This window comes from Homo sapiens, chromosome 3 (genome assembly GCF_000001405.40).
Source record: "Homo sapiens chromosome 3, GRCh38.p14 Primary Assembly".
In the NCBI taxonomy this organism is placed as follows: domain Eukaryota; kingdom Metazoa; phylum Chordata; class Mammalia; order Primates; family Hominidae; genus Homo; species Homo sapiens.
This window is the reverse complement of record NC_000003.12, coordinates 129,220,572-129,247,115: the sequence shown is the minus strand read 5'-3', so window position 1 is coordinate 129,247,115 and position 26,544 is coordinate 129,220,572. Positions and strand designations below refer to the sequence as shown.

The following is a 26,544-nucleotide window of genomic DNA, read 5'->3' as shown; positions in this document are numbered from 1 at the left end:
TCATCATCCCAAAAAGAAAGCTATTCATTAGCAGTCACTTTCCATTTGCCCATCTGCCCAGCCCCTGGCAACCACTAATCTACTTTCTGTCTATAGATTTGCATGTTCTGGATATTTCATATAAACAGAATCATATGCTATGTAGTCTTTTGTGTGTTTTGCTTCTTTCATTTAGCATGTTTTCAAGACATGTTATAGCATGAATCAGTACTTCATTCCTTTTGTAGCTGGATAATATTCCATTTTATGGATTTACTATATTTTGTTTGTTAATCAGTTGATGGACATTTGGCTTGTTTCCAGTCTAGCTCTTGTGAACAAAGCTGTGAATGCTGTGAACATTAATGTACAAGCTTTTGTGCAACCCTATGTTTTAACTTCTCTTGGGTCTATACCTAAGAGTGGTATTACTAGGTCATATGGTAACTATGTTTAACTTTTTGAGAACTGTCTAACTGCTTTTCCAAAGCAGCTGCACCATTTTACATTCCCACCAGCAGTGTATGGGGGTTTCAATTTCTTCATATCCTTGTCAACACTTGTTACTGTCTTTTTGATTATAGCCATGCTAGTGGGTGTGAAGAGGTTTCAATTTGCACTTTCCTGATGGCTACTGATGTTGAGCATCTTTTCATGTGCTTATTGGTCATTTGTACATCTTCTTTGAAAAAATAGCTGTTCATATCCCTTGCTCGTTTTAAAATTATTTTATCTTTTTATTTAGAGTTGTATGAGTTATTTAAGTCTAGACCCCTTCTTCTTTTTTTTTTTTTTTTTAGACAGAGTGTAGCTCTGTCACCCAGGCTGGAGTGCAGTGGTGCAATCTCAGCTCACTGCAACCTCTGCCTCCCAGGTTCAAGCGATTCTCATGCCTCAGCCTCCCTAGTAGCTGGGACTACAGGCGTGTGCCACCAGACTCAGCTAATTTTTGTATTTTTGGTGGAGACGGGGTTTCACCATGTTGGCCAGGCTGGTCTTGAACTCCTGACCTCAAGTGATCCTCCCGCCTCGGCCTCCCAAAGTGTTGGGATTACAGGCATGAGCCACCATGCCAGGCCAATAGAGATTATTTTTATGATTCTTTATAACCACCACCACCTTCCATATTCTAAGGATTTCCGCAGCCCTCTTCTGAGATGCACTCTCTTGCCCTCTAGGTGGCACCAACTCTTTAATTTTACCTCTAGTTTTTTAGCGACGGCACAGCTGGAAGAGGCTTGAAGCCCCCATGCCAGGCCCTGTCTGTCCACTAGGGTGACCCAGGGCAGTTTCAGAGTCCGGGGACTAACTCCCTTCAATATAACAGGGAGACTCAGGACTACCCTTGCTTTAGAGGCAGCTTCCAGCCTCATAAAATGAGTTTTCCAGTAAGTCACCTGTTTTCTTGTCCACCCACGCCCACTTTTGAAACTATGCCCTCACTCATTCGGCATTTGTTGAGCACCCACTGTTACATAATACTTGTAAAAATAGCAAGTACTCTATACATATGAGCTGTTGTTAACAAAAATTAGACTTTTTTAGGATGAGATCATGAATATAAGCGCCCCCGCCTTTGCAAACTGTGAAGGGCAACATTGTGCTAAGGTGTGATCATTATTGGGGCAGGAGGACCACAATACAAGTGCTAGCGTTTATCAAGGACTCACCAGGCGAGAAGCACTTCATGTATTTTATCCTGAGCCCACCTAATGAAAGTTCAAAGTAAACATCATGCTGACTTCACTGGCACAAACCTGAATCTCAGACATTATGTACATTGATGAAGGACACATGCCAACTGAATGACACAGCTGGGAATCAAACCAGTTTCCTGGGTTTCCACAGACTGCTACTTACCCTGAATCACAAGCCATCAACTAAAAGGAGAGCTCGGGGTAAAATCAAGGTTTGACCTGGACACACGGTTATTAGACAACCCGGGGTGTCCCATCAGCTTCATAAACATGTTTTCCTTATGCCATTTTTCTTTTTACCCTTTTTATGTATGTATGTATTTATTTATTTTTATTATGTTTTATTTATTTATTTTTGAGACGGAGTCTCGCTCTGTCGCCCGGGCTGGAGTGCAGTGCCACGATCTCAGTTCACTGCAACCCGTGCCTTCCTGGGTTCAAGCGATTCTCCTGCCTCAGCCTCCTGAGTAGCTGGGACTACAGGCGTGCACCACTACACCCAGCTAATTTTTGTATTTTTAGTAGAGACAGGGTTTCACCATGTTGGTTGGCCAGGGGTCTTGACCTCTTGACCTTGTGATCTGCCCACCTCTGACTCGGATAGTGCTGGGATTACAGGCGTCAGCCACCACTCCCAGCCTTATTTATTTATTTTTAAAAATAGAGACAGGGGCCTGGGTGCAGTGGCTCATGCCTGTAATCCCAGCACTTCGGGAGACCAGGGCAGACGGATCACCTGAGGTTAGGAGTTCGAGACCAGGCTGACCAACATGGTGAAACCCCATCTCTACTAAAAATACAAAAATTAGCTAGGCATGGTGGTGCACGCCTATAATCCCAGCTACTCGGGAGGCTGAGACCGGAGAATCACTTCAACCCAGGAGGCGGAGGTTGCAGTGAGTGGAGATCGCACCACTGCACTCCAACCTGGGCGACAGAGTGAGACTCTGTCTCAAAAAAAAAAAAAAAAACAATGGAGACGGGCCGGGCACGGTGGCTCACACCTGTATCCCAGCACTTTGGGGAGCTGAGGCAGGTGGATCACATGAGGTCAGGAGTTTGAGACCAGCCTGGCCAACATGGTAAAACCCTGTCTCTACTAAAAATACAAAAATTAGCCAGGCATGGTGGTGAGCGTCTGTGATCTCAGCTACTCGGGAGGCTGAGGCAGGAGAATCGCTTGAACCCGGGTGGTAGAGGTTGCAGTGAGTGGAGATTGTGCCATTGCACTCCAGCCTGGGTGACGAGAGAGAAACTCCGTCTCAAAAAAATAAATAAATAAATAAATAAAAATAATAAAATAGAGACAGGGTCTCACCATGTTGCCCAGGCTGGTATCAAACTCCTGGGCTCACGTGATCCTCCCCCCTCAGCCTCCCAAAGTGTTGGGATTACAGGCATGAGCCACCAAGCCCAACCTATTACACCATTTCTCTGAGCATGCTAACACAATTCTACTGGTAATGATTCCTGAATTTAGCAAGAGGCATTTCCAAGATTACTTAATATAGGCCAGGTGCAGTGGCTCACGCCTGTCATCCCAGCACTTTGAGAGGCCGAGGCAAGAAGTCACCTGCAGTCAGGAGTTCGAGACCAGCCTGGCCAACATAGTGAAACCCTGTCTCTACTAAAAATACAAAAATTAACTGGCCATGGTGGTGCACGCCTATAGTCTCAGCTACTCAGGAGGCTGAGGCAGGAGAATTGCTAGAACCTGGGAGGCGGAAGTTGCAGTAAGCCAAGATCACGCCATTGCACTCCAGCCTAGGTGACATAGCGAGACTCCGTCTCAAAAAAAAAAAAGAGATTACTTAATATATTTCATTTTTCTCTTATCAGGAAAAAAACATATATTTTGGAGGGAGGGAGCTTTAGGAACATGCAGCAAAGTAACAAGCAGAAAATCAGCCATTTCTTTTTTCCTTTGTACATTTTTTATTTATGCTTCATTCAAACGAAGGAATATATGTCAACATGTGTAAGTTTTAGACCATAATGATGCCATGAACACCCACGAACTCACCTCCCAAATGCCAATCCGGAACGTTACCAATAACCAGAGCTTCTCCCCTATGCCATCATGCCCTGCCCACCCCAGAGTAACTCTACCATCTTGAAATTTTAACATATTGTCTCCCTCCCTTTTGAAAAAAAAAATACATATATAGACACGCTTAAACAATGAGTTTAGTAGTTTTTGAGCTTTATAAAAATGGTATCATACCATAGGTAGTATTCTAGGACTTGATGTAATCACCATTATCTTTTTCACTACTATATAATATTCTAGGGTGAATATACCACAATGTTCTTACCAATTTTCTTCTTGCTGAGCATTTACATGGTTTCTAGTTTTTTTATTACTAAAAAAATGCTGTTATAAATGTTCTTGTGCCTGTGTTCTCATGCATATATGCAGGATTGCCTCTTGGATACACACCAAGGAGGGGAAATGCCTAGGCTGTTCAACTTTACAGGATGAACAATTGTTTTCCAAAGCGTTTCCACCAATCATACTCCCACCATGGATCCACATCCACTCCAATTTGGTATGATTAAACTCACTTTTTGCCGATCTAGTGGATCTAAATGGTATCTCACTAGGGCCTAATTTGCTTTTCCAGAAGCTGAAAATCTTTTATCTGTTTATTGGACAACCATGATACTTCTCTGAAACTGACTGGATGAAGCCCACCCATGTTACAGAAGTCCAGTTTGCTTTACTCAGTCCACTGATTTCAATGTTTGTCTCATCCAAAAACACCCTCACACAAATATCTAGAATAATGTGTGTGTGGTTTTGTTGTTGTCATTGTGCACGCGCGTGTGTGTGTGCATGTGTGTGTGTGTGTGTGTTTAGAGACAGGGTCTAGTTCTGTCACCCAGGCTAAAGTGCCGTCCATGTGGCAGTATCACGGCTCACTGCAACTTCAACTTCCTGGGCTCAGGCAATCCTCACACCTCAGCCTCCAAAGTAGCTAGGACCACAGTTGCATGCCACCATACCTGGCTAATGTTTTTTTCTTCCATTTTTTTGTAAAGATAGGATTTTGTTATGTTGCCCAGGATAGTCTTGAACTCCTGGCCTCAAGCCATCCTCCTGCCTTGGCATCCCAAAACACTGAGATTGCAGGCATGAGCCACCATGCCCTGCCCTGAATAATGTTTGATCAAATATCTAGGCATCTGACTCCCAGTCAAGTGGACACATAAAATTAACTGCACTTGTTTTTTGTTTGTTTGTTTGTTTTTGAGATGGTGTCTCATTCTGTTGCCCAGGCTGGAGAGCAGTGGCCCAGTCTCGGCTCACTGCAACCTCTACCTCCCGGGTTCAAGAGAGTCTCATGCCTCAGCCTCCCCAGGATTACAGGCATGCTCCATCATGCTCCGCTAATAATAATAATAATAATTATTATTATTATTATTATTTTGAGTCAGAGTTTCTCTCTTGTTGCCCAGGCTGGAGTGCAATGGTGCGATCTCAGCTCACCACAACCTCCGCCTCCCAGGTTGAAGCAATTCTGCCTCAGCTTCCCAAGTAGCTGGGATTACAGGCATGCACCACCACCATGCCCAGCTAATTTTAGTAGAGACGGGGTTTCTCCATGTTGGTCAGGCTGGTCTCAAACTCCCGACCTCAGGCGATCCACCCGCCTTGTCCTCCCAAAGTCAGCATTTGTTTTTTATCATCTTCTGTTTACCTTTGGAATGTAAGTTCCTTGTCTGCCATATCCACAGGGCATGGCACAAAATAGGTACTCAGTACATATCAGTTAAATGAATGAATACCAGAACCAAGATTCCAGCCCCCTGGTCTGAGCAACTCCAGGTTTGCTCTTTTTCTGCAATAAGAAATTCCAGGCTGGGGCCGGGCACGGTGGCTCACGCCTGTAATCCCAGCACTTTGGGAGGCCAAGGCGGGCAGATCACGAGGTCAGGAGATGGAGACCATCCTGGCGAACACGGTGAAACCCTGTTTCTACTAAAAATACAAAAAAATTAGCTGGGCATGGTGGCGGGCGCCTGTAGTCCCAGCTACTCAGGAGACTGAGGCAGGAGAATGGCGTGAACCCGGGAGGCAGAGCTTGCAGTGAGCCGAGATCGCACCACTGCACTCCAGCCTGGGCAACAGAGCGAGACTCAATCTCAAAAAAAAAAAAAAAAAGAAAGAAATTCCAGGCTGGTTGCAGTGGCTCATGCCTATAATCCCAGCACTTTGGGGGGCCAAGGCAGGAGGATCGCTTGAGCCCAGGAGTTCAAGACCAGCCTAGGCAAGATGGCAAGAACCCATTCATACAAAAATTTTAAAAATTAGCCAAGTGTGGTGGCATGTGCCTGTAGTCCACCTACTTGGGAGGCTGAGGTGGGAGGACCACTTGAGCACAGTAATTCAAGGCTGCAGTAAACTGTGATCCTGCTGCTGCACTCCAGATCACTTTACATTGATCACTTAAGGGTTTACTAAGAAGAAAAACATAATGTAACATCTAAAGCCTAATCAATATCTGTGTGCAAATGGTTGAGTTTCTTTTCATGTGATAAAGTTGAAAGAGCCCTGGTCTGGGGATCTGAGGGCACTCTACCTACCCAGCTTCTTATGGATCCTAAGTTCTGAAGCAAATTAACACCATCCTGCTCTTCTGAGTGTGTGACTGTAAGCTGAAGAGGCCTGCAGCAAAGCCTCTAGGTTCCTAAGAGCCAGCTTTCCTGCCACTGTAGAGTAGGAAAAGCAGCCGTCTGCAAGCTCTCCCCACCCTCCAGGAGGACCGGAGGGCTGGTGTGGTGGAATAGCTATTAGTGACTCACCAGGAGCTGGTGACAATTAATAGGAAGGGTTTGGAACATCTCCACCCACCAGCAGACTGAGAATAATGACAGTCCAAAAAACCAAAAGGGAGTGTCTATGATGAGGTCTTCCAGGCCTATGCCCCCCACCCCAACCCCTCAGTGGCACTTCCTTGTTCAAACCATCATAACGTGGGCACAGTAAACATTGGGTTGTACCTGGGTCCATAACATTTTGTAGTCAAAATCTCCTGGAACAAGTCTGCCTTTCCATAATAGCTAAAATCTCCCTGATCATGGAGTGTACACAAATCACTTCGTGTGAATAAAGCAACGTGCATTTGTTGTGCAAGGACTGCCCACTTCGCTACGCCTTGCCCCGATCCCATTCCATCAGCTCCCTGAAGGGTGTTTATGGAGCAATTTGGGAAGGGCCTTGAGCTTAGAAGTCCCCAGGAAGTGCAGCCATTGGATGACTGTTTTCTCATGCAAAACATGTCACTGGGGACCTACTATATGTGAGCTTGGCTGGAAGAGCCCTAAACAGGAGTTGGTGGGTAGGGGAGGAAGAGCACAGAGCTGGATTGCCCAAGAGACACAGTAAACAAGTATTTGCACCCCAGTCAAGCAGGGGCACCAAGGCGAGAGAGCAAGGAAGGGAGGGAGAATACCTGAAATAATTAAATATTTGATATTTACTCCCCAAAAAAGACTCAAAGTAGTCATCAGGAAAAAATATCAGGATATTGCTGGTTTATATTAGTCATTATTTTACTTCAGAACTAGGCAAGCCAGCAGTGCATCCTGGGTAACGTGCAAGCTCCGGAGCCATCCAGCCTGGGCTGTGGTCCGTGCCCTGCCAGAGGTGTTTCTTTCCCAACGTAAAAATAAAAAGAAAACAAAACCCTCTCTCTCACCATCTCCTACTCCTCATTTCTCTCTCCTTCGCAGGAAAGAATATAGACAACCCATAAAAATCTAGAGATGGCTCCTTAAAAAGAGTGGCCCTTACTCACTCCCTGTCTTTGCCTCTTCTCTTCTAGGCCAGCCACTACCCCCACTTCTCCACTAGGATCTGCTCTACCCAATGTCCCTAGCCTTCTCTTTTATATTTTATCTTATTTATTTATTTACTGAGACAAGGTCTGGATCTGTCACCCAGGCTGGAGTGCAGTGACTCAATCATGTTTCACTGCAACCTCGAACTCCTAGGCTCAAGCGACCCTCCCACCCCAGCCTTCCGAGTAGCTGGGACCACAGGCGCACACCACCATACCCGGCTAATTTTTGTATTTTTTGTAGAGATGGGGTCTTGCTATGTTGCCCAGGCTGGTCACAAATTCCTGGGCTCAATTAATCCTCCCACCTTGGCCCCTGAAAATGCTGGGATTACAGACATGAGCCACTGTGCCCAACCATGTGTTGTTTTAAGCAGCTAAGTTTTGAGATCATTTTTAAGTAGCAATAGATAAGTAACATACCATTTCCTTTGGTGAATTCCAAGAAGGGAGTGGTCATTGGTTTCAAATGTTGCTGAAAGGTTGAGCAAGAGAAGTGAAACAAAGTTCCCCCAGAGTCATCACAAAGAGAAAGCTGGGGCTGGGTGTGGTTGCTCACGCCTGTAATCCCAGCGCTTGTGGGGACAAGATGAGAGGGAGAATCGCTTGACACCAGGAGTTTGAGAGCAGGAAGGGCAACATAGTGAGACCCCATCTATACACAAAAAATGTAAAAAATTACTGAGCAGGGTGGTGCACGCCTGTGGTCCCAACTACTTGAGAAGCTGAGGCAGGAGGACTGCTTGAGCCCAGAAGGTAGAGACTGCAGTGAGCTATGATTGTACAACTGCACTCCAGCCTGGGAGACAGACAGACCCTGCCTCAAAAAAAAACACACACAAATAAACCCTACAAAAATCCCTGCACATTTAACGAGATGCTACCTTGTGCCCATTAGGATGGCCACTACCAAAAAAACAGAAGATAGCAATTGTTAGTGAGGATGTAGAGACATTGGAACCCTTTACACTGTTTTGTTTTGTTTTGTTTTGTTTTGTTTTGTTTTGTTTGAGACAGTCTCACTCTGTTGTCCAGGCTGGAGTGCAATGGCGCAATCTCAGCTTACTGCAACCTCCACCTCCTGGGTTCAAGCGATTCTCATGCCTCAGCCTCCCGAGTAGCTGGGATTACAGGTGCCCACCACCATGCCTGGCTAATTTTTGTATTTTAGTAGAGACGGTGTTTCACCATGTTGGCCAAGCTGGTCTTGAACTCCTGACCTCAGGTGATCCACCCGCCTCGGCCTCCCAAAGTGCTGGGATTACAGGCGTGAGCCACCATACCTGGCCTTCCCTTTACACTGTTGAAGGGTATATAAAATGGTACAACTGCTGTGGAAAATTGTAGGGCAGCTCCTAAAAAAAATAAACATTGGATTATAATGTAATTCAGCAATCCCACTTGTGGATATATACCCAAAAGAATGGAAAGCAGGATGTCAGTGAGAATATTTGCATACTCACATTCATTGCCACATTATTCACAATAGCCAAAATGTGGAAGCAACACAAGTGTCCATTGAAGGATACATGGATAAGAAAAATATGGCATATGATGGAATATTATTTAGCCTTAAAAAGAAGGAAATCATTCACTTACTACAATATGGATGAAACTTGAGGATGTTATGTTAAGTAAATAAGCCAGCCATAAAAAGACAAATACGGGCGGGCGCAGTAGCTCATGCCTGTAATCCCAGCACTTTGGGAGGCCGAGGTGGGCGGATCACAAGGTCAGGAGATAGAGACCATCCTGGCTAACACGGTGAAACCCCATCTCTACTAAAAAAAAAAATACAAAAATTAGCCATGCGTGGTGGTGGGCGCCTGTAGTCCCAGCTACTTGGGAGGCTGAGGCAGGAGAATGCCGTGAACCCAGGAGGCGGAGTGCAGTGAGCCAAAACCGTGCCACTGCACTCCAGCCTGGGCGACAGAGCGAGACTCCATTTCAAAAAAAAAAAAAAAAGACAAATACTGTATGATTCCATTTATTTGAGTACCTAAAGTAGTCACACTCAAAGAAACAGCAGAATGGTAGTTGCCAGGGGCTTAGGGAGGGAAATGGAAATTGTTGATGAGTATATACTTTCAGTTTGCAAGATGAAAAAGTTCTAAGATCTCTTATACCACAATGTGAACATAGCTAATGCTGCTGAAGTGTACTTTTTTTTGAGACAAAGTTCACTCTGGTCACCCAGGTTGGAGTGCAGTGGCATGATCTCGGCTCACTGCAACCTCTGCCTCTGGGCCTAAGTGATCCTTCCACCTCAGCCTCCCAAGTAGCTGGGACTATAGGTGTGGGTCGCCATGTGAAGCTAATTTTCATTTTCGTTTTTTTTTTTTTTTGTAGAAACAAGGTTTTGCTATATTGCCCAGTCTGGTCTTGAACTCCTGGGCTCAAGCAATCCGTCTGCTTTCGCCTCCCAAAGTGCTGGGATTACAGGCATGAGTCCCCATGTGTGGCCTAAGTGTACTCTTAGAAATGGTTAGAAATGGGCCAGGCACAGTTGCTTACACCTGTAATCCCAGCACTTGGGGAGGCCAAGGCGGCAGATCACGAGGTCAGGAGATCAAGACCATCCTGGCTAACACGGTGAAACGCCGTCTCTACTAAAAATACAAAAAATTAGCCAGGCGTGGTGGCATGCGCTTGTAGTCCCAGCTACTCAGGCGGCTGAGGCAGGAGAATTGCTTGAACCCGGGAGGTGGAGGTTGCAGTGAGCCGATATATTGCCATTGCACTCCAGCCTGGGCGACAGAGTGAAATGCTGTCTCAAATAAACAAAAAGAAATGGTTAGAAATGGCCAGGCATGGGCCAGGCGTGGTGGCTCACGCCTGTAATCTCAGCACTTCGGGAGGCTGAGGCGGGCAGATCACGAGGTCAGGAGATTGAGACCATCCTGGCTAACACGGTGAAACTCCGTCTCTACTAAAAATACAAAAAATTAGCCGGGCATGGTGGCAGGCACCTGTAGTCCCAGCTACTCAGGAGGCTGAGGCAGGAGAACGACATGAACCTGGGAGGCGGAGCTTGCAGTGAGCCGAGATGGTGCTACTGCACTCCAGCCTGGGCGACAGAGTGAGACTCCGTCTCAAAAAAAAAAAAAAAAGAAAGAAATGGTGGCTCACACCTGTAATCCCAGCACTTTAGGAAGCTTGAGAACATGGCTTGAGGCCAGGAGTTTGAGACCAGCTTGGGCAACATATTGAGACCCCTCTCTATAAAAAAATTTTAAAAAATTTTAAAAATAAGGCTGGGCACAGTGGCTCATGCCTGTAATCCCAGCACTTTGAGGGTGGATCGCTTGAGCCCAGGAGTTCGAGACCAGCCTAGGCAAAATGGCAAAACCCCATATCTACTACAAATACAAACAAAAACTAGCTGGGCATGGTGGTGCGCACCTGTAGTCCCAGCTACTTGGGAGGCTGACCAGGTGGGAAGATCACTAGAGCCTGAAAGGCAGAGGTTGCAGTGAGTCGAGATTGCACCACTGCACTCTAGCCTGGGTGACAGAACGAAACCCTGTCTCACACACACAAAAAGACATGTTTTTAATGGTTAGAATGGAAAAATTTCATGTTATATGATTTTTACCAGAATAAAAAAACATAAACGACACTTTTATTGTCTTCCAGTTTCTGTGGGTAGGAATCCAGGCATAGCTCAGCTGGGGCCTCTGCTCCAGGGTCTCTCATGAGGCAGCACAAGGGCTAGATTCTCATCTGTAGGATCAGCTAAAGAAAGACCCTCCTTCAGTATCACATGATCATTGGCAGGACTCAGTTCCTCACATGCTGTGGGACTGAGGGCCTCGGTTGCTCACTGGTTGCTTACCGGCTGTTGGCCAGAGGCTGCTCTCAGTCCCTTGCCACATGGGCCTCTCCAACGCTGCAGCTCGCTTCTCCCCAGTGTGCCAACCAAGAAGGCAAGAGAGAGAGTCTGCTGGCAGAGGGAAGTAATAATTTTTGGTAACCTTATTACAAAGGAGCATCCCATCACCTTTAGTCATAGTCTATTGGGTAGAATAAAGTCACTAGGTCCAGCCCACTTTCAAAGGGAGGAGTTGACACAGGCCATAAACCCCAGGAGGCAGAGATCACTGGAAATCTCTCAGCCTTTCCACAGTGTAAGGACCCAGCAAGAAGATACCATCTACAAACCAGGAAACAGGCCCTCACCAGACAGTGAATCTGTGGACTTCCAACCTCTAGAACTGTGAGAAATAAATTTGTGTTATTTATAAGCTTTTAAAAAAAAAAGAACTATCTTAAGCAGAGAAGGCAAGTGAGTAAAATATAGAAGTATTATTCATATTCATTAAGAAATACGCTTTTTAAGAGGCTGAGGTAGGACGATCATCTGAGCCTGGAAGGTCAAGAGTACAGTGAGCCGTCATCACCCCACTGCACTCCAGCCTGGGTGACAAAGACCCTATCTCAAACAACAACAACAACAATGACAAAAAAAGAAATATGCTTCCTCCTATTTTTCAAGAGATACTTACTGTCTCTGTCTATCTTTCATTTTCCCACTTTATTTTTTTTTTTCTGTCTCTTTTGTAAGAATCAAGATCTTGCTATGTTGCCCAGGCTGGAGTGCTATTAACAGGCACTATCATAGGGCACAGCAGCCTCCAACCCCCAGGCTCAAGGATCCTCCTCTGTAGTAGCTGGGACTATAGGGGTGTACCATTTTCTCACTTTCAACAGTAACATAAACTTAAGAAGTCCTCTCCCTTCTCTTAACTTTACTAGAAGAAAAGCAGTAATGCAAGAGAGATGGTGAATAATATCTGTTAGGCCTCTGGTGGCAGGGATACGATAGAGAGAGGTAGGGACTGAGGCAAATAGGAGAGTGCACACCTCAGGTAACGGGACGGCTGTGAGTCACTGCACCTGGCTGTTGGTATGCAGGAATTCAGGCCCAGAATGGCCAATCTTGAGATTTTTCCAGAGAAACTGGAAATGGAGATTTCAAAAGAAATACTCTGATTTTTAAATTTTTGGCAACAGACTCAACATGTTTTAAAATATTGTGCATGCAGGCCAGGCATGGTGGCTCACACATATAATTCCAGCACTTTGGGAGGCCAAGGCAGGCATATCACTTGAGGTCAGGAGTTCAGAGAACAGCCTGACCAACATGGTGAAACCTTGTCTGCACTCAAAATACAAAAATTAGCCAGGCGTGGTGGCGCATGCCTGTAGTCCCAGCTACTTGGGAGATTGAGGCAGGAGAATCGCTTGAACCTGACAGGCAGAGGTTGCAGTGAGCCAAGACTGCTCTACTGTACTCCAACCTGGGCGACAGAGCGAAACTCTGTCTCAAAAATAATAATAATAATAATTGCGGCCATGTGTGGTGGCTCATGCCTGTAATCCCAGCACTTTGGAGGCCGAGGCAGGCAGATCACAAGGTCAGGAGATGGAGAACATCCTGGCTAACACGGTGAAACCCTGTCTCTACTAAAAATACAAAAAAATTAGCTAGGCGTGGTGGCATGCACCTGCAATCCCAGCTACTCAGGAGGCTGAGGCAGGAGAATTGCTTGAAGCCAGGAGGCGGAGGTTGCAGTGAGCTGAGATCATGCCACTGCACTCCAGCCTGGGCGACAGCGCAAGACTCCGTCTCAAAAAAAAAAAAAAAAGAAAAGAAATTGTGCATGCCAAGATGATGCAGACCAAAGAGAAGGAAAAAAAAAAAAAAAAAAAAAAAGCTTGCTCCAGCCCTGTGATGCTTACAAGTACCACATGGTACCCTCTTCTCTTTTCCTCGGCTTCCGGAGGTCACCTGCCCTGGTTTCTCACTTCCCTTTTTTGCCTGCTGCATCTCACACTGTTTTGCAGGGTCCTTCCTGCTGCCCATTGGATGTTGGCATTTGCTTACGGCTCAGCCCTAGACTTCCTCTTCTCACTCAGCAAGCTTCCCTGGGTGATCTCAATCACTTTCAACCAACCTACCACTGGTGTGCTGATGACACCTAAATCTAGATCCACCACCCAGCCCAGAGCTCCCAACACAGCACAACATAGGAACTGATTTCCTAACTCCACGTTTCCCTAACCAGACTCATCAACCTGTTCCAAGTCCCTGCAGACCAGCTCACCTCTCTCAATGGCACCACTCAGTTGCATAAGCCAGAAATTAGAGCCATCCTTGACATTTTCTTTCCTCTCATTCTCCACATCCAATTCATCCACATCCTTCTTTGTCTCTTCAGCAAATATACATAGAATTCTTCCTGTAGACCAGGCTGCGTATCTGGGGATGAGCAACAAACAGGACCGGGAGTCTCATGCTGTGGGCCAGTAGCTAACATTATGCTCTTTCACTGCAGCAGTCTGGGTTCAATTCCCAGCCAGGAAGTGATTCCTTTAAAAAAATTAAACAAAAATAAAACCAGAAACAAGCCTGTGTGCAGAGCCTCATGCCTGTAATCCCAGCATTTTGGGAGGTTGAGGTGGGTGGATCACCTGAGGTCAGGAGTTCGAGACCAGCCTGGCCAACATGGCAAAACCCCATCTCTACTAAAAATACAAAAATTAGCCAGGCATAGTGGCGTGCGCCTATAGTCCCGGCTACTCGGGAGGCTGAGACAGGAAAATTGCTTGAACCCAGCAGGCAGAGGTTGCAGTTGAGCCGAGATCGTGCCACTGCACTCCAACCTGAGCAACAGAGTAAGACGCCTTCTAAAAAAAAAAAATATATATATATATAATAAAAATAAACAAGTCAGGCAAAATCTCTACCCGCATAATGGCCACAGTCTAGCTGAGGTGATAGTTTTAAACCAGTTTCCTTAGCTTTGGAATTAACTTTAAATAGAGAAATTTTTTAAATTTTTAAATAGGGAGGCCAGGCGTGGTGGCTCAAGCCTGTAATCCCAGCACTTTGGGAGGCCGAGGTGGGTGGATCACGAGGTCAGGAGATCAAGACCATCCTGGCTAACACGGTGAAACTGTCTCTACTAAAAATACAAAAAAATTAGCCAGGCATGTTGGTGGGTGCCTGTAGTCCCAGCTACTTGGGAGGCTGAGGCAAAAGAATGGTGTGAACCTGGGAGGCAGAGGTTTTAGTGAGCCGAGATCGCACCACTGCACTCCAGCCTGGGCAACAGAGCAAGTCTCCATCTCAAAAAAAAAAAATTTATACAACAGAGTTGGGTAAATAAGCACTAAATGGGTTACTATAATGCAATGTGCTTAGAACTGCATCGGGCACACAGTAGGTGCTCAATAAATGCTAGTTATTATTAGAGAAAGTAAGCAAACTCATAAGGGGTAAAAGAGGAAGCTGTGACAGAGATCAAGAGAGGACCTCCTGTCATGGGGATGGGCAGAGAAGCCTTCTGTTAGGAGGCCACGTAGCAGATGAAACCTGAGGAATGAGAAGGCGGGGAGATCGACCAGTGCAAAGACGAAAAGTGGCAAATGGTTTGGACTAAGGTGGAGCAGGGTGGAGAGGGAGGAAAGAGGACCCTTGTCAGATCTATCTGGAAGTAGAATTGACATGGGTGGGTAAAGCAAGACAGTGGAAGGGATCCAAGGTGACACCTCTGTTCCTGGCTTTAATAAGCCAACATCATTGATTGAAATGGATAAACCTCGGACAGCACCAGGTTGGGGGAACAAGCTTCCCAGGAGAGGTGTTCCGTAGCCCATTTCCTGCACGGTCACTAGGATCCATCCTGACCCTCCCACCCTGTGCCACCCTGGTCCCAGTCTGCCTCCCTGGGCTCCTGAAGCAGCCTCCACCCCCTCTACCCCTCTCCAGTCTTCCCTCCACTCTGCAGCCTGGATGGCCTTGTGCACACAAACCTCCAGGCACCCCTGGTGAGCAATTAATTGCTCAGTCTAAGAGTTCAACAAGTGCTTATTGACTGCCGGGTTTATAGGCCGTTGCAGCCAGAAGGAGCCTTAATAGCCACCTACAGTCATGAGCCATGTAACAACATTTTGATCAATGATGGATCGCATATGCAACAGTGGCCCACAAGATTACAATGGCGCTGAAAAATTCCCACCACCTAGTGATGCTGTAGCTGTCTTAAAGTCATAGTGCAATGCATTACTCATGTTTTTGTGGTGATACTAGTGTAAACACACCTACTGTGCTGCCAGTCATAGAAAAGCACAGTACATAATACTTGGTAGTGACCATAAACAATTGTTACTGGTGTATGTATTTACTTTTTTTGTTGTTTTTAAGATGGAGTTGCCCAGGCTGGAATGAAGTGGCTCAATCTTGGGCGTGGTGGCGGTCGCCTGTAGTCCCAGCTACTCGGGAGGCTGAGGCAGGAGAATGGTGTGAACCCAGGAGGCGGAGATTGCAGTGAGCCGAGATTGAGCCACTGCACTCCAGCCTGGGTGACAGAGCAAGACTCTGTCTCAAAAAAAAAAAAAAAAGAATAAGGACATAAATAAATTGGGCAACATAGGGAGACCCCATGTCTACAAAAAAAAAAGAAGGAAAAGAAAATAATTTTGTACAGCTGTACAATGTGTTTGTCTTAAGCTAAGTGTCTAAAGAGTCAAAAAATTAAAAACATTTAAAAGTTTATAAAGTAAAAAAGTTATAATAAGCTAAGCATAATTTGCTATTGAAGAAAGAAAAATATATTTTATAAATTTGTGCAGCCTAAGTATACAACGTTTATGAAGTCTGCCATAGGGCATAGTCATGCCCTCGACCTTCACATTCACTCACCACTCACTCAATGACTCACCAGAGCAACTTCCAGTCCCACAAGCTCCAGGCATGGTAAACGCCCTATAGAGATGCACCATTTTTATCTTTTTTTTTTTAAATTGAGTCAGTCTTGCTCTGTCGCCCAGGCTGGAGTGCAGTGGGGTGATCTCGGCTCACTGCAACCTCCACCACCCAGGTTCAAGTGATTCTCCTGCCTCAGCCTCCCAAGTAGCTGAGATTACAGGCACATGCCACCAAGCCTGGCTAATTTTTGTATTTTTAGTAGAGTTGAGGTTTCAACATGTTGGCCAGGCTGGTCCCATTCAGCCTAGGTGTGCAGTAGGCTCTTCCATCTAGGTTTGTGTAAGTGTACTCTGTGATGTGCACACAACAGAATTGCCTAAGGAGGCATTTCTCGGAACATATCCTCACCGTTAAGTGACACATGACTATACTTTAAACTGTCAGTCATGTGGTCTTTCTGCTTCCACATTCTCACTGCCTGCCCTATCCTTGTGAGAGTCAGTGGGCAGGGCAGCAAGAGACAGGGCTTTAAATTCAAGAACCTGCATTCAGTTCAGGAAAGTTACTTAAGTTCTGGGGACTCTCGACATTTTGTCTGTAAAAGAAAAAGCGTCCTTTTTTTTTTTTTTTTTTTTTGAGACAGAGTCTTGCTCTGTTGCCCAGGCTGGAGTGCAGTGGCACAATCTCGACTCACTGCAAGCTCCGTCTCCCGGGTTCACGCCACTCTCCTGCCTCAGCCTCCGGAGTAGCTGGGACTACAGGCACCCGCCACCACGCCCAGCTAATTTTTTGTATTTTTAGTAGAGACGGGGTTTTACTGTATTAGCCAGGATGGTATCCATCTCCTGACCTTGTGATCCGCCCGCCTCGGCCTCCCAGAGTGCCGGGATTACAGGCGTGAGCCACCGCGCCAGGCCCAAAAAGTGTCCTTTTTAACTGGTGTGTGGGGGGGTCCCAGGTTCAGTGATTTGCTAGGGGGACTCATAGAACTCAGAAAAGCTGCTATACTCATGGTTATAGTTTATTACAGCAAAAGGATACAGATTAAAATCAGCACAGGAAAACGTGTTTAGGGCAGAATCTGGGAGAGAGCAGGTGCGAGTTTCCATGTGGCCTTACCGGAAGAGTTGTAGGGACCGTGCTTCATTCTCCCGTAAGGATGCGTGGTAGCCTGCAGGGAGTGTTGACAACAGGGAAGCTCACCCAAGCCTCAGTGTGCAGGTTTTTTATTGAGGGTCAGTCACACGGCCATGGAGCACCAACCTGCTTGATCTTAGTCTCCAGCATGACCCTGCAACCACGTCAAACTCAGTGTGGCCCAAGACCCGAAGCAAACAGAAACGGACATTCACCCCGAAGCACATTTTTAGCACAAGTATCTGGCAGGGCCCAAGGCCCCAGGTATGCAAAGCCACTCCATCAGGCAGGATATTTCAACTGTTTATAGGTTATCTTCCAGGAGCCGGTCTTTGGGATGTGCAGGGTTTGAGCGTCACAAGCCTGCTGAGTCACCTCTTTACTGCATAGCTTAGTCTGAACAATTACCGTGTGTATCAGCCACAGCCCAGGCAGAAGCAGACAGAATTCAGTACAAGGACTTATTACACAGGAATGGAAGAGCTGGGAAACCAAGCAGGAAGTGGGGAGGGAACTGGGAGATCAGCAACAGGAAGGACAGGAAGCCTCTCTTGCCTCTAGGGTAGAGGTGGAAGTGGAGCCCAGCAGCTGGAGCCATCTGTGGGAACCAAGGTCGTGATGAGGGCCACCTGGTGGGCACTGCAGCCACAGAGAGAGGGGCTGTCCTACTGGGAACCAGTATTCAGAGGAGAATTAGTTGCCGTCCCACCCCAGGCAGAGGGAGAAAGGGAGAAATACCCTGGTTTCTCCCTCCCCCAAGCCACCAGTCTCCCACATGCATCTCCCAGCGGCTGGCCCCGGCCTAAGACAATTGGCAAGGGAGCCTGGGAATGCAGTGTCCACAAGAGTGAGGACTCCTAGGAAATTATCACACAACATTCACTTAGGGCCTTTTCCACTGTGCCTGACACCGTGCCAGGCACATCCACCATTGCCATCCCACACAGTCCTGTATGAGAACTGCCCTGCAAGCAGACACCACCATCTCAGTTTTATGGGTGAGGAAATTTAGGGACTCTGATAAAGAAAAACAGTCTGTTGGGAATGGAAATGGAGCAAGAGGGCTGGAGGAAAAGAAGGAGAGCTGTGGGCTTCACTCGGTCATAGAATGCACAGAATGTCCTGTGAAAACCTTCCAGGGCAGGAAGGACCCCCTGTAGCCAGAGCTACAGGTGGGAAGAGTAGGGTATTCATGAAGCACATTCTTTACTAACTTAACACAGTAAAGGATTTTCTCCTGCCAGCGGCACGGTGGCTCACGCCTGTAATCCCAGCACTTTGGGAGACCAAGCTGGGTGGATCACTTGAGGTCAGGAGTTCGAGACCAGCCTGGCCAACATGGGAAAACGCTGTCTCTACTAAAAATACAAAAATTAGGCCGGGCGCAGTGGCTCACGCCTAATCCCAGCACTTTGGGAGGCCAAGGTGGGCAGATCACAAGGTCAGGAGTTTGAGACCAGCCTGGCCAATATAGTGAAACTCTGTCTCTACTAAAAATACAAAAATTCGCCGGGCGTGGTGGCGCATGTCTGTAGTCCCAGCTACTCGGGAGGCTGAGGCAGAAGAATTGCTTGAACCCAGGAGGCGGAGGTTGCAGTGAGCCCAGATCGAGCCATTGTACTCAGCCTGGATGACAGAGAGCAAGACTCTGTCTCAAAAAAAAAAAAAAAAAAAAAAAAGAATTTCCTCCTGCCTGAAGCCTCATTTCCTTCCTCAATCAAATCGCCCCCACCCATTTCTCCCCCTGGGAAGACCTGGGTTCATTCACAGCAGAAATTGTCTGCACTGAATCTTTTCTTTTTCCCCTTGCTTGCTAGGATGACTTGTGGGTTTAGTTTGTTTCATTTCTCAAAGGCTTATTCACGGCTGTTTTTCATGTCATTTCACCCTGTTCATCAGTGGGATCTTCCCAGGGGTTGCTAATACACAAGGCAGTTAATCACACGTACTCAAGATCCAGGCAGCTGAGGTCTCCCACAGATGGCTTTAAGCACACCTTTGAATGATGCTAACTTCAAGCATTTGTCCTGGCCTTCAAGAAGCACAAAGCCCTTTCCTTCCCACAGCCTACATTTGGCCTAGCACCCTGGCTGAATTTCTTGTGATTTCAGATATCAGTTATCTCCTTTCCCAAAACCCTTGTTCAAAGATTCTGTCTAAATATACTTAATTTTCCTCAGTGTGACAATGCTACAGTGGTGATGTAGGAGAATTGAAATTACCTCCGAATCTTTGAGGGAAGGCCAGGCACGGTGGCTCACGCCTGTAATCCCAGCACTTTGGGAAGGTAAGGTGGGTGAATCATGAGGTCAGGAGATCGAGACCATCCTGGCTAACACGGTGAAACCTCTCTACTAAAAATACAAAAAATTAGCCGGGCGTGGTGGCGGGCGCCTGTAGTCCCAGCTACTCGGGAGGCTGAGGCAGGAGAATGGCGTGAACCCAGGAGGCGGAGCTTGCAGTGAGCGGAGATTGCGCCACTGCACTCCAGCCTGCCGACAACGTGTGAGGGAGCATGCAGTGAGTTGTCTTGTTGGACCTTTGGACGCTGCCTTGAAGTATTAGTTGAGTCAGGAGCTGCGACCCTTATTTTTCAGGCCGTGAGCCTGCCTCCTGAATGTTCTCTGCATTTCCAGAACCTATTCTGAGAAGCTAGCTAGGTCTAGGGACTGCCAGACAGGGAGGGGCTCAGAAGGAGGTTAAAAAATATCGTAGCATTGGAGGACTAACAACCTGTTGCAGACACTCTGACACAACATACACACAATCAGATGTGGTGTCTTGAATTAGATTCAGGACCCTGTTACCCATTTCTAATTATAACTAACATTTGTTTTCACGTACACCATCCAACATAATCCTCACATCCAGCCAGGAAGAGACAGTCAAAGGGAGCAAACATTTGGGCAACCTACATGCTAAAGTGTGCTGTGGGCTTTCCTATGTGTTAATCTTGGTGAATCTTCCCCACAACTCTGCGAAGAAGGTTTTATTACTATCTCCATCTTACAGTGGATGATACAGGCTTAGAGTTGACACAAGAAATGGCAGAGCTGCAATTCCGCCCTGAGTCTTTTGATTCCAAGTCACAGGCTCTATCCACTCCCTGCTCTGGCTTTCCCACAGCAGGGCATGTCATGGGCGGGTGGCCAGCCTGCGCACTCTCCAAGAGCTTCCTCTCCATACAAGGGTGTGCATGAGTCAGAGACACGCTGGCAGGACTAAAAGAAGATGCTTATCATATTACCTTGAATTTGTCTTTCTTTATCCAACCATAACATCTGAAATACACTATGCGTGATAGGATATATATAAAATGTTTCTGTGTGTTTACTATACTTTTTCAAATTAACAATGGACTCCATTGTATTTTGTGGGATTTTTGTTGTTGTTGTTTTTAAGACAGGGTCTCAGGCCGGGCACGGTGGCTCATGCCTGTAATCCCAGCACTTTGGGAGGCTGAGGCGGGCAGATCATGAGGTCAGGAGTTCAAGACCAGCCTGGCCAACATGGTGAAACCCCATCTCTACTAAAAATACAAAAATTAGCTGGGCATGGTGGCACGTGCCTGTAATCCCAGCTACTTGGGAGGCTGAGGCAGGAGAATCGCTTGAACCCAGGAGGCAGAGGTTGCAGTGAGCCAAGACTGCGCCACTGCACTCCAGCCTGGCGACAGAGCGAGACCCCATCTCAAAAAAAAAAAAAAGACAGGTTCTCATTCTGTCACCTAGACTGGAGTGCAGTAGTATGATCTCTGCTCATAGGCTCAAGTGATCCCCCTACCTCAGCCTCCCCAGTAGCTGGGACTACAGGCATACACCATGCCTAGCTAACTTTTTTAAAAAAACAATTTTTGTAGAAATGGGGTATCACTTTGTTGCCAAGGCTGGTCTTGAACTTCTGGCTTCAACTGATCCTCCCGCCTCAGCCTACCTAAAATTGGGATTATAGGCATGAGCCACCATGACTGGCTAACTCCATTGTTTTAAATGTAGAGGTGCTTTACTTGAAAAGGTGACTAAAGGTTTAAAAAATGTATATTACTATTTTAAAATAAGCTTACCTGGCCAGGCACGGTGGCTCACACCTATAATCCCAGCACTTTGGGAGGCTGAAGGAGGATTGCTTGAGCCCAGAAGTTCAAGGCTGCAGTGAGCTATGATTGTGCCACTGCACTCCAGCCCAGGAGACAGACTGAGACCCTGTCTCTAAAAGCAATTCATAAATAAAATACAGCATACCAAAATTTTTAAGTTGTATTTACTATTTCTTCATATCAATAAACAAAATTAGAAGTAGCCCAAGTCTCTCTTACTCCCTGAGATGCCCTGCTCCAGCTGATTTGAACCATGTCAAGTCTAGGATTTACGTTGCTTTTTAAAATTGCAGGGAAATGATCTGCTTGGATTACGTTCAACTTGCAGTCCGTGTTTAGCCATGGCAAAAACAAACTCGAGGGCAGATAATACTCGTTTGGCTTGGCAGAGCTTGCAGAGGAAGTCCTGTGGCTTCCTTCCACGTCCCAGCTTGCTGCAGATCCTCCTTCCGGTGCCCAGTATGCAGTGGCTGCCAGCATGTCCCAGTGCCCTGCTGGCCCTAGGCTGGAGCTGTAACTGAGCAAGAGGCTGTGTCCTAAATAACTCTCACAGTCACCGAGGCTGATTACAATTCTTTCGCAACATAGTCTCTGATTTGCTTTCCAAAGGTCAGAAGCTTGAGCTAATGTGTTTCAGGGACAACCCAGTCAGCTTGTATTTAAAAAAGAGAATTTTTATAATTTGAAAAAGAAGATAGAGCATCCGGAAACTGAGAAAATAAATTAAAAGTTCGTTCCTCCCATTCTTGATGTGTATCTTTTTGGAACATAACAGGAAAGGAAATAAAAATTTTAAAACCCTCAACAGTCTCAGCATTCCTCCTTCAGTCCTCATCCATATAGGACTATAGTTTGATAACACTGTAATTGTAGCAGGATACAAATTTCTGTTCTGTCTTCTCTTCTGTAATAAATTCCAAAAAAGGAAACCTAGCTTTTTATGGGGTAGGAGTTACTTTTTATTCTAAAGGCAGTGCAATATTACATAAAGTTTGAGGAAATTGAAAAAAAATATTCATAAGCCTGTCATCCTTACTTAACAGCTTTTTTTTTTTTTTTTGAAACAAGGTTTGGATCTATTGCCCAGGCTGAAGTGCAGTGGTGTGATCTCGGCTCACTGCAACCTCCACCTCCTGGCCTCAAGTCATCCTCCCACCTCAACCTCCTGAGTAGCTGGGACTACAGGCACCTGCCACCATGCCCAGCTAATTTTTTGTATTTTTTTTTTTTTTTGTAGAGATGGGGTTTTGCCATGTTGCCCAAGCTGGTCTCCAACTCATGAGCTCAAGCAATCCATCCCCCTCGGTCTCCAAAGTGCTGGGATTATAGGCGTGAGCCACCATGCTCAGCCAATTTTTGCATTTTCTTTTATTCTTTTTTTTTTTTTTTTTTGAGACGGAGTCTCGCTGTGTCACCAGGCTGGAGGGCAATGGCACGATCTTGGCTCACTGCAACCTCTGCTTCCTGGATTCTCCTGCCTCAGCCTCCTGAGTAGCTGGGACTACAGGCGCGTGCCACCACGCCCAGCTAATTTTTGTATTTTTAGTAGAGACGGCATTTCACCATGTTGGCCAGGATGGTCTCTGTCTCTTAGAGACCTTGTGATCTGCCCACTTTGGCCTCCCAAAATGCTGGGATTACAGGTGTGAGCCACCATGCCTGGCCTAATTTTTGCATTTTATATCTACACTTTGTCCACTGCATCCATAGTTTGCATCTTTTACATAATAGAACTATTATGATTATTCCCCACAAGTATTCACAAGTATTTATTTTAAAAAGACTATATCCTAGCTTGTAAGTGGTACAGAAAAAAACTAAAATAAAAAAGATTACGTACTTCCTAGCACTCTAAAAAACCCTAAAAAACTTTTAAGTTCTCTTTACCAGTCCTATTCACATGGATATTTTATTTTTACAGTTGTGAATAAAGCAGGAATTCAATTTAATATTTTTGTTGTCATTTTATATTATAAAAAAATTAGTATTTCCTTATAGTCTTTGTCATTTTTTTCCTTAAATTTTCTTTAAGAATTGAAAGAATTACAAAAGTAATTTATGTTTATTTGTTACACACAAAATCCAACATTATGTGAAAGAAAAATTATATCTGCCCCACCTTACCCTAATTTCATCCCCTAAAGTAATAAATATTAACAACATGAAGTGTATAATCCCAAATCTTTTTTTTCTCCATCTTTCCTATATGAACAATATCCAAACTTCCCCATTTTTTTGAGACAGGATCTCACTCTGGTGCCTAAGCTAAAGTGTAGTGGCATGATCTTGGCTTATTGCAGCCTCTACCTGGGCTCAAGAGATCCTCCAACCTCAGGCTCCCAAGTAGCTGGGACTATAGATCTGCACCACCGTACCCGGCTACTTTTTGTATTTTTTTGTAGAGTCGGTGTTTCGTCATGTTGCCCAGGTGGTCTCAAGCTCCTGAGCTCAAGTAATCTGCCCACCTTGGCCTCCACAAGTGTTGGAATCACAGGCATGAGCCACTACATGTGGCCTACAAACCCTTTTCTTAAAACAAAACTGGGGCTGGGAGCTGTGGCTCAGGCCTGCAATCCCAGCACTTCGGGAGGCTGAGGCAGGTGGATTTCTCTAGGTCAGGAGTTTGAGACTAGCCTGACCAACATAGTGAAACCCCCTCTCTACTAAAAAATACAAAAATTATCTGGGCATGGTAGTGTGCGCCAGTAATCCCAGCTACTCGGGAGGCTTAGGCAGGAGATCGGTTGAACCCAGGAGGCAGAGGTTGCAGTGAGTCAAGATTGTGCCACTGCACTGCAGCCTAGGCGACAGAGCAACACTCTGTCTCCAAAAAAAAAAAAAAAAAGGAGACTATGGACTATGTACATTTCTTGGCAACTTGCTTTAAAAAAAAAACAACAAAAAAGGCCGGGCGCAGTGGCTCACGCCTGTAATCCCAGCACTTTGGGAGGCTGACGTGGGCGGATCACGAGGTCAGGAGATCGAGACCATCCTGGCCAACATGGTGAAACCCTGTCTCTACTAAAAATACAAAAAATTAGCCAGGCGACTCCAGCACACACACACAAAAGGTTATAGCAAGTCACATTCCTACCAGCAATGAATGGGAGTTTCATTTTCTCTGAATCTTTTTTTTTGAGATGGAGTCTCATAGTAAGCCTCCTGAGTAGATGGGATTACAGGCACAAGCCACCAAGCCCGGCTAATTTTTTTGTATTTTTAGTAGAAACAGGGGGTTTCACCATGTTGTCCAGGCTGGCCTCAAACTCCTGACCTCAGGTAATCCGCCTGCCTAAGCCTCTCAAAGTGCTGGGTTTTTTTCCCTGAATCTTTGCAAGTACTGGATTTTATTTAGCTTTTAAGTTTATGCCAATCTCACAAAAGAATATTACCATCTCATTATTACCTGAATTTGCATTTCCTTGATGACTAAGGTTGTGTTTCTTGGATTTCCTTTTATGAATTATCTGTACATATTATTTACCCATTTTTCTATTGGATTTTAATTTGTAGAAACTCTTGGTATGCTAACAATATTAACATTTATTGTAGGTATTATAACTTTTTTTTTTTTTTTGAGACAGAGTCTTGCCCTGGCACCTAGGCTGGAGTGCAGTGGCTCGATCTCAGCTCACTGCAAGCTCCACCTTCCAGGTTCACGCCATTCTCCTGCCTCAGTCTCCTGAGCAGCTGAGACTACAGGTGCCCGCCACGACGCCCTACTAATTTTTTTGTATTTTTAGTAGAGACCGGGTTTCACCCTGTTAGCCAGGATGGTCTTGATCTCCTGACCTCGTGATCCGCCCGCGTTGGCCTCCCAAAGTGCTGGGATTACAGGCGTGAGCCACCACGCCCAGCCAACTTTTTTTCTGCTCTATGCTTTGTTCGTTTGACTTCATAGTATCTTTTGTCTCAAAACTTTAAACATTTTAAGTAGTCAAATATGAATATCTTTGCTTGCTTCCATAGCTTCTGGATTCCCTGATAAGCATCATGCATTTTATTTCTTTTGTGTTGTTTTTTCTTTTAAGATATAAGTGGCCAGATGCAGTGGCTCACGCCTGTAATCCCAGTGCTTTGGGAGGCTGAAGGCCAGAGGATCACTTCAGCCCAGGACTTCAAGACCAGCTTGGGCTCAAGTGAGACCTTGTCTCTAAAAAAAAAAAAAGGCCGGGCGCGGTGGCTCACGCCTGTAATCCCAGCACTTTGGGAGGCCAAGGCGGGCAGATCACAAGGTCAGGAGATCGAGACCATCTTGGCCAACACGGTGAAACCCCATCTCTACTAAAAATACAAAAAAAATTAGCCGGGCATGGTGGTGGGTGCCTGTAGTCCCAGCTGCTCAGGAGGCTGAGGCAGAAGAATGGCGTGAACCCGTAAGGCAGAGGTTGCAGTGAGCTGAGATGGCGCCACTGCACTCAAGCCTGGGAGACAGAGCGGGACTCCGTCTCAAAAAAAAAAAAAATGCTGAGGCTTGGGGCTTGTACCTATAATCCCAGATACTCAGGAGGCTGAGGTGAGAGGGTCGTGGGAGCCCAGGATTTCAAGGTTGCAGTAAGCTATGGTCATACCACCACACTCCAGTCTGGATGACAGAGTGAGACCCTGTCTCAAAAAAAAGTAAGATGTAAATATTTCCCATTTGTTGCAATTCTCAAAATTATAAGTACTTTTTTTTTTCTTGAGACGGAGTCTCGCTCTCGCCCAGGCTGGAGTGCAGTGGCGTGATCTCGGCTCACTGCAAGCTCCGCCTTTCGGGTTCACGGCATTCTCCTGCCTCAGCCTCCCGAGTAGCTGGGACTACAGGCGCCGACTGCCACCACGCCCGGCTAATTTTGTTTGCATTTTTAGTAGAGACGGGATTTCACCATGTTAGCCAGGATGGTCTCGATCTCCTGACCTTGTGATCTGCCCACCTCGGCCTCCCAAAGTGCTGGGATTACAGGCGTGAGCCACCGCGCCTGGCCAAAATTATAAGTATTAATGGCTACATAATATCCCATCCAGTGGATGGCCCATAAATTAATTAATAGTAGTCTTCTCTTGTATATTTAGGTTGTTCTTTTTTTTTTTTTTTTT

The 26,544-nt window shown here is 46.0% G+C and overlaps 1 long non-coding RNA gene across 3 annotated transcripts, besides 4 other annotated features; it reads right to left on the bottom strand.

The window, feature by feature from the left end:
- Positions 954–1,494: a transcriptional cis regulatory region, noted in NCBI's record as "intergenic|chr3:128964465-128965005 region (GRCh37/hg19 assembly coordinates) targeted for CRISPR interference". NCBI's record gives its function as "positively regulates H1.10 gene expression in K562 cells {active_cell/tissue: K562}" and the evidence as "EXISTENCE:mutant phenotype evidence [ECO:0000015][PMID:31784727]".
- Positions 11,105–16,374, bottom strand: LOC105374102 (uncharacterized). 3 transcript variants are annotated; one of them, XR_924472.3, is made up of 4 exons: positions 16,246–16,374; positions 13,627–13,892; positions 11,355–11,459; positions 11,105–11,254 (listed from the first exon to the last, which is right to left on the bottom strand). It is a non-coding gene; the product is annotated as an uncharacterized LOC105374102 (long non-coding RNA). The 3 variants fall into 3 exon arrangements; XR_924470.3 differs by having other exon boundaries at positions 11,105–11,459; XR_924473.3 differs by having other exon boundaries at positions 11,105–11,459; positions 13,627–13,781.
- Positions 13,222–13,341: an enhancer, noted in NCBI's record as "active region_20507". NCBI's record gives its function as "activates an Ori minimal core promoter by ATAC-STARR-seq in GM12878 lymphoblastoid cells {active_cell/tissue: GM12878}" and the evidence as "EXISTENCE:reporter gene assay evidence [ECO:0000049][PMID:35858748]".
- Positions 15,207–15,708: an enhancer, noted in NCBI's record as "NANOG hESC enhancer chr3:128950251-128950752 (GRCh37/hg19 assembly coordinates)". NCBI's record gives its function as "activates a minimal SCP1, AML or CMV promoter by ChIP-STARR-seq in naive H9 embryonic stem cells {active_cell/tissue: H9 hESC(naive)}" and the evidence as "EXISTENCE:reporter gene assay evidence [ECO:0000049][PMID:30033119]".
- Positions 17,856–18,150: a silencer, noted in NCBI's record as "tiled region #8233; K562 Repressive non-DNase unmatched - State 5:Enh". NCBI's record gives its function as "represses a minimal TATA promoter and a strong SV40 promoter by Sharpr-MPRA in K562 cells {active_cell/tissue: K562}" and the evidence as "EXISTENCE:reporter gene assay evidence [ECO:0000049][PMID:27701403]".